The 16501-nt window shown below is 36.2% G+C and overlaps 1 long non-coding RNA gene across 1 annotated transcript in view; it reads left to right on the forward strand.

Annotated features, from left to right (window-relative positions):
- Positions 1 to 16288, forward strand: part of NRXN1-DT (NRXN1 divergent transcript) — a 1375317-nt gene extending 1359029 nt beyond the window's left edge. The window contains exon 11 of the long non-coding RNA NR_135237.1: positions 15349 to 16288. This is a non-coding gene — a long non-coding RNA (NRXN1 divergent transcript). The remainder of the gene's footprint in view (positions 1 to 15348) is intronic.
- The last annotated feature ends 213 nt before the right edge of the window (positions 16289 to 16501 follow it).

Genomic DNA, 16501 nt, shown 5'->3' on the forward strand with positions numbered 1-16501 from the left:
TTTACCAAGACAGTTACCAGCATTTAATAAAGTAAGTCTCATGCTGAGAGAACTTCGTGTGTGTGTGAGTGTGTGTGTGTGTGTGTGACAAAGTGATGATCTGCAAAATCCCTATGACACTTGGCACTGAGGATGCTGTCCATATGTTTCTGTTTTGTTTGCTAAAGTCTCTTTGTGCAAACCTGAGGACATCTTTCCTAAATATACTCCCTTGTGATTTCCTGTTACCAAGAAATTCTGAAATCACAAGGAATTCAACATAGCCTTCTCATGAAGCTAAATATATCTTACAATTTTGAGATTCTTTGTGAATCCACTCAACAGTGAACTTATTCTTCATTTGCTGAAGGCTGAATGGTCTCTCTGGAAGTCAGAACAGGAGCAGTGGTGCACAAATCTCTGCTCTGTTATTCCTTTTATTTTACCTTCTATGAAGGCAGCATTCTCACTGACATACTTAAAATGCCAAATCAAAAGTGTTTCCTCTTTTGTCTTTCTTTGGTCACATAAAAATACATTTTAAATTAAAAGATAGCATTTCAAGATCCTTTTTTGTGATGTGGTTAATGTATGTATATGAAATCTTTAAAATACACTGAAATAAAGGAAAATTTGTTTTCTTCTCTTTTATGATTATGTAAAACATTTTCTAAAGAAAACTTATCAGGAACCCTCCAGGAATATTTATTAATGTTCATTTTCTTCATGGAAATTTGTAGGAGTCAATATGTCTAAGAAGGACTTATTTATAATGACTAATGACTATATTATTAATGGATTATTCAGTGGTACTACTTGGTTCTTAGGCATTACATCACCATACAAACAGCAACTTCTTATTAAACTTATTAGAAGTGAACTCTTTTAGTAAAGAAATCTCAGATAAATATATTGTACCATATCTAGTAAAGAAATCTCAGATTATTAGATATCAGTTACATATATATGTATGTGGTTGGGGAGTGGTGCAAGGGCAGAAATTTCTGAAACTAAATGTTATTGTTCAGGAGTTTTTCCAAGAGTAAGTGCATTTCTGTATTCCTGTATTCCATTCTCATGCTGCTAATAAAGACATACCAGAGCCTGGGTAATTTATAAAAGAAAGAGATTTAATTGACCAAGTTCAGCATGGTTGGAGGCCACAGGAAACTTACAATCATGGCGGAAGGCAGAGCAAAAACATCCTTCTTCGCATGGCAGCAGCCAAAAGAAATGCCAAGCAAAGGAGAAAAGCCCCTTGTAAAACCATCAGATCTTGTGAGAACTCAGTCACTATCATGAGAACAGCAGCATGAGGGTAACTCCCTCAATTATTCAATTACCTCCCACCATGTCCGTCTCATGACATGTGGGATTATAGGAACCACAATTCAAGATGAGTTATGAGTGAGGACACAGCCAAACCATATCGTTCTGCCCCTTGCCCCTCCCAAACATCATGTCCTCACATTTCAAAACACAATCATGCGCTTCCAACAGTCCCCTGAAGTCTTAACTCATTCCAGCATTAACTCAAAAGTGCAAATCCAAAGTCTCATCTGGGACAAGGCAAGTCCCTTCTACCTATGAGCCTGTAAAATCAAAAGCAAGTTAGTTACTTCCTCGATAAATGGAGGTATAGACATTGGGTAAATACACTCATTCCAAATGGGAGAAATTGGACAAAGCAAAGGAGCTATAGGCCCCACGCAAATCTGATATGCAATAGGGTCAAAACAAAGGGGCTACAGGCTTCTTGCAAGTCTGATATGCAATAGGGCAGTCATTAAACCTTAAAGTTCCAAATGACCTTCTTTGACTCCATGTCTCACATCCAGGGCATGCTGATGAAAGAAAGAGGTGCGCTCCCATGGCCTTAGGAAGCTCCTCCCCTGTAGCTTTGCAGGGTACTACAGTCCCCCTCCCAGCTGCTTTCAAGGGCTGGTGCTGAGTGTCTGTGGCTTTTTCAGGCACACAGTGCAAGCTGTCAGTGTATCTACCATTATGGGGTCTAGAGGATGGTGGCCCTCTTCTCACAGCTCCACTAGGCAGTGCCCCAGTGGGGATTCTGTGTGGGGGCTCTGACCCCACATTTCCCCTCCATACTGCCCTAGCAGATGTTTTCCATGAGGACCCCATGGTCCTCTTGAAAACTTTGCCGCTTAGAAATTTCTTCCACCAGATAGACTAAATACACTTTCTCAAGTTCAAAGTTCCATAGATCTCTAGGGCAGGGACAAAATGCCCTCAGTCCCTTTGCAGAGCAAGAGTAACCTTTACTCCTGTTCCCAAAAAGTTCCTCATCTCCATCTGAAACCACCTCAGCCTGAACTTTATTGTTCATATTACTATCAGCATTTTGCTCAAAGCCATTCAACAAGTCTCCAGAAAGTTCCAAACTTTCCTACATCTTCCTGTTCTATAAGCCTTCTAAGACTCTAGGAAGTTCCAAATTTTCCCACATTTTCCTGTCTTCCTCTGAGCCCTCCAAACTGTTCCAGCCTCTGCCTGTTAACCAGTTCCAAAGTCGCTTCCACATTTTTGGGTGTCTTTACAGCAGCACCCCACCCTCTACAGAACCAACTTACTGAATTAGTCTACTGTCATGCTGCTAATAGAGACATACCTGAGACTGGGCAATTTACAAAGAAAAGAGGTCTAATTGACTCACCATTCAGCCTTACTGGGGAGGCCTCAGGAAACTTACGATCATGGCAGAAGGGGAAGCAAACATGAAGGACTCCCAAGAAAAAGGGGAAAGCCCATTATAAAACCATTAGATCTTGTGAGAACTCAGTCACAACCACGAGAGCAGCTGCATGGGGGCAACTGCTCCCATGATTCTATCACCTCCCACTGGTTCTCTCCCATGATACATAGGAATTATGGGAACTAAATTCAAGACAAGATTTTGGGTGGAGAAACAGCCAGACCATTTCAATTCCTAAACTCATCAATTAACCACTTCTTGATGAGTCAGGTCCACATTTCTCTACATGATCAAAACAAATGATACACTCAGAGTCTAATGAATTATGAATAATTTTTGTATGCTAATTTATACTATGTTAGATTTCTTTTTTTATTCATCTAGTTATTTCTGCTTCTGTTATATTGTTTCCTTAGGCATTTATCTCACTTTTGATTTTTTTTTTTGTTTTACATTTGATTTGATAATCAGATAGCCCCCAAATTAGAATATTTGTAAAAATTGTGTAAATAGGCATGAAGTGAGCACTTGTACTTTTAAGGAACAGTTTTACATATGTTTTTACAGTTGAAAAATTATTTTTTACTTACTTTTTGGAGGATAGTTGAATATGCCAGAGATATGACATAGTAGCCATTCAGGCTGTCCACAAACACTACAGTTCTTCTAGGCATAGTAATATTGTGCCTTCTCAACACCTGAAGTTATATGTGTTTGGGAGACAGTTGGCTAACAAAATGTAAGCAGTAGAAATATGTGTCACTTTCAGGCCAAAGTTCTAAGAGCCAGTGTGAGAACACATTCTCTTACCACTTACTGTGGTTGATCATGGAGGTAGGTGTCAAGATGAGGTCACTGGGTCTCTTGAGTGACTCTAATAAGCACAGTCTCCAACAAAACTATGGTGGACATGGAATACAACCAACAAATAAACCTTTGCCTTTATAAGGAACTGAGACTTGAGTTGTATGTTACCAATAAATTGAAAATAAATTATAAATTAAACATCAGTATGAGAAGCCATTTATTCACAGCTGTTGCCTTCTTAACAGTAAGGAATAGAGATAAATGAGAAAGTCCCAAACTCAATTATTAGGCTCCCCCAAAATTTCATAATAAATGTATAAATGGTTGAGGAATTCACTAGGAAAATAAAAGAATTACAAGAAGGAAAATCATGAGTGTATTTACATAAGTCATTATAAACATTTTTCAAAATGTTTTCTGAAATAAAATTGCTTACTATCAATAGATTTTAAAGTAAAAAGTAAAGCAGTAATAACTGCAAATAACCAACTAAATTTCATTAGCTGATTCAGCTCTGTAATGAATATCTGATAACAATAATACATTGCTGGTGAAAGTAGTGATAATGGCAGTGTGAGATGGAAGAAGAAGAGTTGGACTGTTATTAGGAAGAGGAGCCCTCTGACATCAAGGTTGCTATCATCAACACCAAGATCACTGTCTCTCATTACATTCAACACCACTAGAAAAATTTTCTATATTTGCAAAATTTTTGAAATTACTGCTACTTCATTGTCTCATGGAAAATAGATTATAATCTTTTAATTAACATTTATAAATATTTTGTTATTGTTATTATTCTGTCTTTTCATCATAGAACTCAGTGGAGAGATGAGGGTAGAGTTTTTCAGTGGTTGAACTTTTGGATAAGCCGAATAAAATCTACACAGGCTGAACTCATTTTTATTCCATTTTGTTGTTAAAACAAATGAAAAAGAAAAGCTTCTGTGCCAGCATTCTCTCTTCTTTCAGGCTGAGTCATTTCCTAAGAGGCTCCTTATCCCTTAAAGTAGACTTCTGGCAGATACACCATAGTATCATTTTAATTATGTTTAAGCAAGCCTGGGGATGGTAGTTATTTAAATCACAAGACATGTACAATATTTTCAACAATTTCATTAAGTCATTCCTAATACTGAAACTAAAGATTTTCTCCCTTTCCAATATTATGCAAATTATAGATTACTAACACCAAATAAACGCCTAGCAATATTATTACATTAATTCTAAGAAACACTAACATAGGAGACTTGGTTTCTTCTAAAGACATCATTTTAGGTATAATTGGAAATACAAAAACATTTCATTTTAATAAGGGGAAAATTAGGCAATACATATAAATTAATTTAAAAATTGAATGACGTTTATGAATTAACAGAAATCATTAGGTGTACTTAAAACAATATCTGAATAAATGTTTTGATGAGGAAAGAAAGTGCTCTTAAAATTAATATATAAATTTAAATGAGATTTTACATGAGATTGCTAATCAGGGTCAGTTTTTTTAATTGTTTAAAATAACCTTGAAGTTTATGTGGCAATAAATAAAGGGAGTCTGAAAATAGCAAAGATTATGAAACATAAAATTGTGTCATGTATTGTAAATCTTTTGCCTATAAATTTTAAAGACAGGTTATCAGTTTTATCAGCAAAGATGGCTAGAGTGTTGATTGGAGTCGTGTTAGATTTATAGATCACTTAGAGTAAAATTGACATACAAAATATATTAAGTATTCAGATCCATAACATGGTATACTGCTAAAATTATTTTTATCCTCATGATTTTCAAGCATAAACAGGCAGATTAAAACTCTGCCTTAATCTTCCTTTCCTGATTTTACAGAATTGCAACATCAATTGGAAGGAAGGACTTTGGCCTCTTTCAGGTCTTTCCTGGTCATCCACACAACCCTGTAGACGCTTGGTCTTCTGGCTTTTCAGTAACATGTTAGGGCTTTTCAAAGTTTTCTTTGGACATTTCCTTCCCCAGCTTTAGTCAGCTTCTTGTTTGCTCCAACTGTTATCAACACCTCTTGTAAGCTGCCATATTATTAAACTTTTTAAAGTTAACTAATGTCCATAAAAATTATTTTCTGAATGATCCAAACCAAGTCAGCTCTGACTAAGGTCAAATACATACAAGGCCTGTGAGAGAAGGTTTTCAGATAACTGGAGAGGGGTCAGATAATGTCAATTTTCTGTGAATAAGGTTTAACATGAGTTCCAAGCCCATTCTCTCTCCACCAGTGAGTACCTGGTAAGCTACTATTCTTCACGAATACTGTGATAGTAAGTTTTGGGCTTTTAGGGTTACCACATACCTGGGAGAGGGGAGTGTGACTTCAATGAGTTTAAACACCACAAAGTTCGTAACTCTTACTGAGACAGTCATTTTTCTTGAATAAATACTTCTCCGATTGTTGCATGCTTTATTTAATTTTCAAAGTTCTGAAAAAGTTGATATTGGCAATTTTTGCCAAAATTTTTATTGATTTTACAGAGGGGCAGATTTTTGGAGTCCCTGACCTGCCATTTCTAATGGTAATTATCCTTTGACATTCTTTCTTTCTTCCTTCCTTTCCTTCTTTTTTTCCTTATTAAACTGTCTAGGACTATATTAAAATAATGCACATAGGTAATGAGAGCAGTATCTTTGCCTTAAACTTGAGAATTAACTACAACCTTTTGTCATTGAGTGTGATGTAGGGTTTTTTTCAACTACATACTTTATTATATTGAGAGAGTTGTCTCCAGTCCTAGTTTGCTGAAAGGTTTTAGCTGTTTTTGGGTTTTCTTTTTTTTGTTGTTGTTGTTGTTTTTTTTTTTTAGTTTTGCAAAATGTTTCTCCTGCATTCTGAATGTATTGGGGTAATCATATGGGTTTTTTTTTGTCTGTTAATATGAAATACATTGATTTTCAAATAGTAACTATACTCATTCATGGTGTTTTATACTGTTTCTATATTTCTAGATTTAATTTGCTATTATTTTGTTAATTTTTTTGGTTCATGAGAAAATTAAGTTGATAAATGTTTTCTATTCTTTTGACTACTCATTTAGTCAGCTAAGAAAAAAGTTTTAACTATCTCGATCATATTTGTATATTTGTAAATTTTGCATTTCAATTGTATTTTTCCCCATGCATTTTGAAGCTTTTTGATTAGGTGCTTGTACACTTAGCACTGTTATATCCTTATATCCTTTTTTTTTTCTTTTCTCTTTTTTTTGAGACAAGGTCTTGCTCTGTCACCCAGGCTGGAGTGCAATAGTACAATCAGAGCTCACTGTAGCCTCGACCTGTCAGACTCAAGTCATCCTCTCACTTCAGCCTCACAAGTAGAGGTCTCACTATGTTGCCAAGGCTGGTCTCAAACTCCTGGCCTCAAGCATATCCTCCTGTTGAACTGACCTCTCTATCATTATAAAATGTTTCTCTTTTCGCTGGTGATATTCCTAGCTTGAAACCTACTTTGTCTGATATTAATTTATTCAACTCAGCTTCCTTTGCTTAGTGTTTTCATAATATCTTTTAAAGTCTTCTACTTTTAGCCTATTGGTATATTAATATTTAAAATTCATTTCTTATATAACACATATAGTTAGATCTTTTTAGTCAGCTTGATCTCTGTCAATAGATTGTGCTTTTAGATTATTCCAATTAGATCGAATATAACTAACAATATGGTTGGTTTTGAATCTGCCAACTTCTAGTTTGTTTTATATTTGTTCCATTTTTCTCCATTCCTTTTTTCCTGTCTTCTTTTGAGTTAAATGAAAACTTTTTATAATTCCACTTTCTCTTCAATATTGGCTACTTCCTCATCTCTTAGTTTAAATTTTCAGTAGATCCTCCAGGGATCACAATATACATCTTTAACTTATCACAGTTTATTTTCAAATATAATGCTACTTTTTATGTATCTTGAAAGAAGGTAAGATTCTACATCTGTTTCTCTCCTCATGTGCTACTGATGTTGTTATTTTTATTTCTATGATATAATATACACATTTGTATTATTTTGTTCACAGAATTGTTTTAAAAGAGATTTATATATGAGAATAAAAGACTTCTACATTCTATGATTATAATTGAATGGCATTTGCCATTCATCTTTCTAAATTTCTATCTTATATTATTTGTTCTCTGCCTGAAGAACATTCTTTAATATTTTTTGTAGTTCCAATCTGCGAGTGATGAAATATCTCAATTGTTATTTGTCTAAATAATTTTTCTTTCACTTCATTTTTGAAAAATCTTTTGCCAAGCAGAGAACAACCAGATTGACAGTTTTGGATTTTTTTCCTCACAGTACTTTAAAGATATTACTATATATTCTTCTTGCTTGCATACATTTTGCCAAGAATGCTTTGTCACTTATATGTTTGTTCCTTTGTACATAATAGGTCATTTTTTCTTCCCTCTCTAGCAGCTTTTAAGATTTTTCTCTGCATTACTGGTTTTACCAATTTGATTTTGATATGCCATAGTGTTGTTTTTTGTGTGTTTATTCTGATTGGGGTTTGCTTAACTTCTTGGATGTGTTGCTTTACAGTTTTCATCATATTTAAAATTCTCTATTCTTATTCCAGATACTACCCTTTCCTTCCACTCCCATCCGTAGCCTTCCGCCTTCCTCCTTCTGGATCTAATTACGCTTGTTAGAATACAATTATCACTGTAGCTCTTTTTATTTTCCTGTCTTCTTTTTTTTGCTTGTGTTTTTTTAGATCTCTGTTCTCATTTCCTTCCGATGACTTCATTTTTACTGATCTATTCTTCTGCAATGTCTAATCTGCTGTTAATTCTCTACAGTGTACTTTTAATTTAGTTTTTTCTTTATAGATTTTTATTTGGTAATGCTTTATATTTCTTATTTCTCTCTTTATCATTGTCACATATTTTTTAATTGGGCACATATAAGCATAAGGCACATATTTATAATTCTTTTCATATTTATTAATGTCCTTCACTGCCAATTCTGTCATCTCTCTTATTTATGAATGTCACTATTGATTATATTTTCTCATGATTATGAGGCAGATTTTCCAGCTTCATTGATTAGATAACTAACATTGTGAATATTATGTTGTTGAATGCTGGATTTTGACGTATTTCTTTAAATTGTGTTGTAACTTGTTCTGGTGAAGAAATAAGTTCTTGGAAACAGTTAAATGCTTGCTTTTAAGTTTTTTGGAGTGTGTCTTGACCAACTTTTAACTGAGGGCTAATTTAGATCTTCTACTAAGGTGTCACCCTTCTGAGATTTCTCCATGTCTTAAAAGTCTTCAACTCTGGCTGATGGGAGGAATTGCTATTCCCAGCTGTGTGTAGACTCTGTGAATTGTTGCACTTTCTAATTTCCAGTGGTTCTTTCTCTGCTCATGTGGTTTCCTCTCACATAGGTGCAGATTAGATTGAGGGTGTCCCTAGGTAGATTCTAAAGCTTGCTCTTTCTTTCTCTCTCTCTCAGCTCCCCTTTCACTGGTAGTCTGTTTTATAAATTCTAGCCACTCAGACCTCTTTAACCTTTAATCTCTGTCTTCCTAAATCTGCATGATGGCTTGGTTCTGCTTGGATTTTCCTTCTTTATGCCGCAGCACAGGGACTACTTCTAGGCCAATGGTTTTCAAACTGAAATGATTTTGTTCCATAGTAGACATTTGGAATGTCTGATAACAATTTAGGTTGTTACAACTAGGGTAGTGCTACTACATTAGCACCAAAGCTAAGGATGGTGCTAAACTTTCTACAATGTACAGGACAGCTCCCTACAACAAAGAATTATCCAGCCCAAAATGTCAACAGTGTGCAAGGTTGAAAATCTTTTCCCTAGGCAGTTTCTGGGGAATATTATCATTCTCTCAGGTATCATAATCCTGCATGGCTTAATGCCTCAAAACTGTATTTTGTTATATTTTGTTCAGTTTTCTAGTTATCTGAGTTGGAAATACAAATCCAGTCTTTCTTAGTTCATCATGGCCCAAAGTGGAACTCTTTCTTGCCTCTTGATAATAATATTTGCATTCTATTCATCCTCCTAACTTGCTCATGTACTTAAATTTTCCAGATTCCTTGAATGTGTAGACTCTTAGTTTAAATTTCCCTCTAATATTGCTTGTACTCACGATATGTTAAGGTGTGGGCTATGATTAACTTATAATTGAGGATGCTTACTTTGTATAAAGGAAGGGTATTACAACACAGAGAAAAACTTACGCCTCATTTTTATCTCCAAATCTGCTCTCAAAACTCACAAACTATAAAATATCTTTGTGAAGTTTTCTGAAGTATGCCTGCCTGATAACTCCAGGTTTTGATGGGGAGAGGAGGCAGAGAAATTCTAGGCAGACAGGGGTGGGTCCCTGGTGAAGCCCCACTCTCAAGCTGAAAAGCCTAAGACGGTGGCCCAAAGTGAGAATTTACATCTTTGTTTTCCCACTTGAATGCTGCCTTTTCAAAAACCACCTGTGGCCTGCCCCAACCCCCATCCTGTGCCCATAAAGACTCCAGCAAGCAAAGAGGAGAAAGCTGGACATCAGACAATGGCTCAACATTGGAGAGAACCAGCTTGACTTTAGAGGAACGCTTGATGGCTAACTTTGGAGAAGAATCCAGCTGGAGATGGCCAGACTTCAGGGGAAGATTACCTTCCTACCCTATCCCTTTTTCAGCTCCTCTTCCACTAAAAGCCACTTTCATTGGCAATAAAATCCCCCCACATTTATCATCTTTTAATTTATTTGTGCAACCTTATTTCTCCTGGATGCCAGACAAGAGTTTGGGTGCCATGAGTGCGAACACTAAAGGCTGTCATACTGGCCTTTCACTCTCACTGGCAGAGGGGCAGCTGCCTCATGTGAAAAGTCAGAAGGCCCACTGAGCTGTTAACACTTAAGCCATCTGCAGATGGCAGAGCTAAAATAGCACTGTAACATTCTCCCTCTGAGGCTTCAGGGGTCGCAGGCATCTCCCCAGATTCTGCCATGAGGCCTGCACAGAGTTTGCTCCTGCCAGCACCCAAAAGCACTCACCCTGACTCCTGCACGTGCTCAACCATGCACTCCATCCCACAAGGAGTGGACTGCTGCAGGTCTAAGTGAGTGGAGTTCACTCCTGCCAGTGCTGAAGCAGCCAGCTGGTTCCAGGGTTGGTGCACTCCAGTTCCCGCCTTATGTGCTTGCATGCTCCCTCTTACTAGGAATTGAAAACTGCAAGCTGGGTAAATCAGGCACACCTGTCACGAATCCCACGAAGGGGTTGGGAAAATATTCTGCTTCAGTTCCATTTCTTCAGAGCTTTTAGCCTGATTCCAATAGGCTGTGGCATGTTTCCACCACATCTAGAGAGTTACGGGCCAAGTTCCAAAAAAAGGAAATCACAGCGAGAAAAGCCCAGAGAGAAGGCCTTCCTTTGTGGGCTTAGTCCATGGCACGTCTTTCAAGTTCCTGATATGAGTCCCTGATTCTGCAGTTCTTCCTAGGATGGGTTGACATCAGGGATGATTAGTCCTGTGAGTGAAAACTCAAATCTTACTATAGCACAGTTATACCTATGAGACATTAGTACATGTCCCAAAAAGTGGTTTATTGTATGACCTTTATTAAACTGAGACCAGTTCTTTATCACATATTCCCCACAGTAAAATGAAGAGCATGTCAAATATGTTTTAGTTTTTCTGATCTTTCGGAGACAGCTATTAAAGCACAAGCAAAATACGCTTATATCTAACCAAAAGCATGGTTAATTGCCCAGACTGAAACCAAATGAATTCATTTTGAATCTCACTTTGACACTTAGCTTTGTGACCTTAAAGAAGCTAATGTAATGTCTCAGTGTTCTCATCTGAGGTCTTGGATATGTCATCTTGGGATAATACCTTATTCCTCAAATGGTAATAATTCTATTGTTGAATTTGAAAACATTTTGCACTTACTTTAACTTAACCAAAACAGTTCAGCAAGGGGTTTAAAACACACACACACACACACACACACACAAACGTACACACACGTACTAATAAAATTATAGCTTAATTCAACAAGTTTCAGCTTCAGCATTTTATTTTTTAAATGCAAAAGAAAGTGGGTGCTGAAATATGACTGCTACTGGTATCTGTAGTAAAGGACAGACACCAAGAATAGGTAAAAGATATAATCTGCAGTAAAGAAAGTGAAAAAAAATAAAAGCAAGGAAGGGAAAGTGGGAAGGAATTATTTCTTTTGAGAACTAGGTGAGTCTATTACATATGTTAACCCCTTCAATTCTTGAAATTGGACTACAGAGTAGTTGTGCTTGTCATCTCATTACATAGGAATATGAAGTTGAGAGAAGTTCAGAAATGCATTTTAGAACACTTGTTCTGTAAGCTGGGTACTAGAATTTGAACACAGGCCTGCTAAATCTAATATTCTTTGCTAAAGAAAACACCCTATTTCAACTCATTTCCCTCAGGAAAAAGACAGGTGAGATGATGCCCAATGATCTTTTGTTTTTCTGCTTCTTCACTTCAATGTCATAAAAAAGTCATCATAGTGGGGCAGAAAATTAAACTATTACCACTCAAACACAGTACCCAGATATCCTAAGACTTCTTTATATTACTCCCAAATACACTAAATCTCCCAGCTCTCAAACTTCCCACTAACCACTAATTTATCTAACAAAGGCTATCAAAACTGATTTGGTATAACAAGCCGTAGCACATTTTTTAAATGCCTAATATGAATGGACTATGATTGTTGCTAAATTTTTAAACTCATTTTTGAATATCATTTTATATTTTACCAATGTTGAAAGTCCAAAAACATATAAGGCTCTGTTTTAAAGATTCTATTTTCAAGAACATCTATTTATTCTCCTTTGAGGGAAGTGACATTTATTGTAGAGTTCAGGATTACCCTATCGGCTCGTTGCAAGACCTCGTGCAATCTCGGTTCATTTACTCTCTTAAGCTAGTTCCCAAGGTAAAACGAAAAAGTGTTTACTACACATCTAGCTATAAATTGCTGTGAGTACTGAGTGTGTTGAAATTATGGAATCAAAGATAATATTCATGTTGCAAATGTGATCAGTCCTGCAGTGGCTGTAAAAGAATATACAGGTGATGACGTGGTTGGAATTTACCCAGTGTGAGTGTATGATTCAAGCCCATAATAATTGTTTATTTTTGGCCATTATATGAACCAGAATAAAGGGTGAAGCAAGTATAAATCTACCAAACAGAAATCATTCACCAAAACTAAATGCATACTTCTGTGCTAGTTTCAAATTGCATTAATACTCACTTTCACTATTTCTTTAAGCAAAGTCACACATCTTCATTCGTCTCTCTACCAGATGATATTAAAAGATATTTTATTAGGAAAGAAGCAAATACGAATGAATTCAAACATCATATCAGGTACTTCTTCCTTGATATTAAGAAGTAAATCAAACTTGAACTCTCAATACAAAAATGCATATTAGCCTCTGGTAATCACAAGTTCACATTATTTCCTCTTTTTAAGAATGAGGTAGAGTGGAAGTGGTGGTTATTCGAGTGTTTTATTGAGATATTTGTTTTTGTCTTAATCAATAGTCTTGAACAGTCTTAAAATCAGAGATACAGTCAATAATCATGGGTGGTTACTTTTACGAGAAAAAAATCTGCTGTGTTGTCTATTTCCTACCTAGTTCTATTATAGTACTGTGGGGCTAGTGTTACTATTAGCCCCATTTTATAAATGACACAAGTGAGACTTAGAGTGACTTACTCAAGGTTATAGAGTTAGAAGCTGTCATAATAGAATCAAACTCAGGCAAGCTAACTTTTAAGTGTCAGAGACGAAATCACTTTACCATACTGCCTAACGTTAATGACTATGAGAAAGGAAATCATTTAAATCCTGTTACACACTGAAGAAACATGCTTACTGCCAACAGTTCTCAAAATGTGGTCCAAATTAATTTCAGAAGAGAAAGTGAAAGAGGAAGAGGAAAAATTGCCTTTTTTCTCTCATTTTCTCAAGATAACACAGTAGAATTTTCTAGAGGCTATGTGATGTGTGATATCACAACCAATTAAAGGCCGAAAAAAAAAATTTAAGAATCAAGCTGTCTTCTATTCAACCAGACATTAAAAGAGACTTGTAAAACTGTAAAACATTGCCACTCATCTCACTAAACTATTTTCATTTTTGAAAATAAAACTCTTTCTAAAATATATGTTAATTATTTTAAGACATAGTGTGTTTATTTTTAAATAAACAACTAAAGACAAAAAAATTCTAGGTTTAATTCTAATGAAATGTTGACATATATAACTCATATAAATAGCAGTACTTTGATGATAGTCTAATACTTTTTAAGAAACCAAAGGGGTTCTGAGACCAAAATATTTGAGAACCACTGCTATAAGGCATTTTGATTACACACCATTTCCTCTGCCTAGGTCAGGTTAGCTAGATGTTCAGAAAGTCTAGGTGTTTTAAAACAATGTATCTGCGGCCGGGCGCGGTGGCTCACGCCTGTAATCCCAACACTTTGGGAGGCCGAGGCGGGCGGATCACGAGGTCAGCAGATCGAGACCATCCTGGCTAACACGGTGAAACCCCGTCTTCTATTAAAAATACAAAAAATTAGCCAGGCAAGGTGGCCGGCGCCTGTAGTCCCAGCTACTCGAGAGGCTGAGGCAGGAGAATGGCGTGAACCCCGGGGGGCAGAGCCTGCAGTGAACCGAGATCGCGCCACTGCACTCCAACCTGGGCGACAGCGAGACTCCATCTCAAAAAATTGTATCTGTTTGGGTAGATTTATGGCCTAAGCTTATCACCATTCTATAATTTCATTTTGAAAAATACTCTTTTAAACTATAGTATAAAGTTTGATTTTGTATGCCCGAGGTTTGAAAAGGTCATTAGTTCAAAATCAATGGAGTGGTTTTTCATTCCTTTTAATGTAGGATCAAGTTCATTTTGATTTGGTACTCAGTAGGTTATAATAACCCACTGAGTGCATGAAACTAAATGAGAGAAACTGTACTGAGCAAGTGGCACTCTTGAAGTTTTCATAACTTTGTGTTGCTAGGAAACAACTTTACTATCAGCTCAGAGTTTAACTTGGAGCATCTGCTTCATTTAAAGTCTGGTTTCCAGGCAGTGTAGATTGCATTGAGCATTGGGAGGGGGATAAAAAGCAAAAGCAAAACCAATTACTTTCTAAAAACAACAACAATGTTAAAAGTCTTGAAAGCTGAGGGTCTTATGCTATATTTGTAATTATATCCTTTGGAACTGTTGCTAGAGGGGTTGTCTTTCTGCTAACTCATAAACCTGAAGTCCAGAGTAGAAATCGGGATCACTCAGGTTCAAAAGTTCTAAGAAATGTACAGTGAGAATTGAATGATGGCATCTCAGCCTTTGAGGAGGGAGTGAGAGGGGAAAATATACTCTATGTCGTTGACTTGCATTTTAACATATTCTTCTCAGGCAAAATTGCTACTTTAAGGATATGTTTTATGATGTATGCAGGTCATATATTCTACCCTTCCTTCTGCCCTTTTCCTTATTGTTTCATATTTCAGCATGTTATGGTAAGTCTGGAACAGGAAAGAGAAACAGCATATACTGTACTGGCCAATTATTTGTCCTTTTCATACAAATTGATGCAGTAGCCTAGCACCATTTTTTCAAGGCATACCTGCTTAAATAAATTAATACTAACATTTCTACCATTTCATAAGGGAGAAACGTAAATTTATATCCCAATGAACAGAATATCACATGACTTTTACCCAACAAAAGCAAGTTGTGTTACTATTTTCATGTTAACAAGTCCAAGTCCTAAAAATTGAACAATTTCTTCTGTTTCACAGCATTGCCATCTATATTTTCACTCCTGAGAAGTTTGAAAATTAAAAAAAAAAAAAAAGATCATCAAGAATAAGGGATGAACCACAAAAAGAAAGAAAGGCTGGAAAAAGGTTTTACAGATTTTTAAGAAATATAACTCATTTGCCTGAGCATTCTTTCAACATCCTCATTTTAAGGTTACTTCTAAAAAGAAGAAATGATTTTTAATATTTCCTTCATCTGGAGAAATAACTGTCGCTGTTCGGTATTCACAGACTTCCTGCTGAGGACTGCTATCGCAATAAACTCTGGTCTCACGATAGGCAGCCATGATGAGAAACGGCCCCTGCATAGAGATGGTTTGAACTGTGTGGCTCCCTCCTGCCCCATATAACCATCGCGAGAAGAATGTAACAGCGGCCCTCCATTAGTGAACCTTTTACCGTGATTCCCGAGTCATAACCCCGACCCACCTTGAAATCTACTGCTGGCATTTTCTCGTCATTGGTTTGACACATGAATTAGCAGTTTAAGACTTTGCCTCCCTACTAACACCAACATCTTATTTGTATGGCTCTGGCACTAGTTCCTGCCTCCTTGTCCTCTAACTCTAATCCCAGTTATCACCCTTAATTCAGTATGCTCTTGGATCTCTGGTTAAATCTCTTAGAACTTTCCATTCAAAATAACATACTTTATACTTCAGAGCCACCCTTAGGTTTGGTACTTCTACTATGTCCATGAATTGAATTTTTGCATCTGTTTCTCTATATATGTATTTTTCATTTAAAATATTTGTTCTTAAGTCGTATAATTTACCTGGTGAAAGACCATACAACAGTACTTGCATGTAGTCTCCCTATAACTGATGAACGTGCATGTTTCTTTTCTCCGATAAATTTTATGTCAATTTTACTACATTATTGAAATTCCCCCAGCGTAATGTGATAAAATTTATCAACTAGCTTTTATACTGCTGTTTTAAATGAAACAGAGTTGAATTAAGGTCTAATGCATTCCCATAAAAATTGCCTAGGTTTGTTTTTGAAATCTCATTTTATACAGGCAGCCGAGATATTCAAAGTTGGTTGTATGGATAAAAATTTCACTCAAAAAAGTACTCAAATCTATCTCTGGTTTATAGGACACGATTTTAAAATCTGGATTTAAATATTA

This window comes from Homo sapiens, chromosome 2 (assembly GCF_000001405.40).
Source record: "Homo sapiens chromosome 2, GRCh38.p14 Primary Assembly".
Classification (NCBI taxonomy): domain Eukaryota; kingdom Metazoa; phylum Chordata; class Mammalia; order Primates; family Hominidae; genus Homo; species Homo sapiens.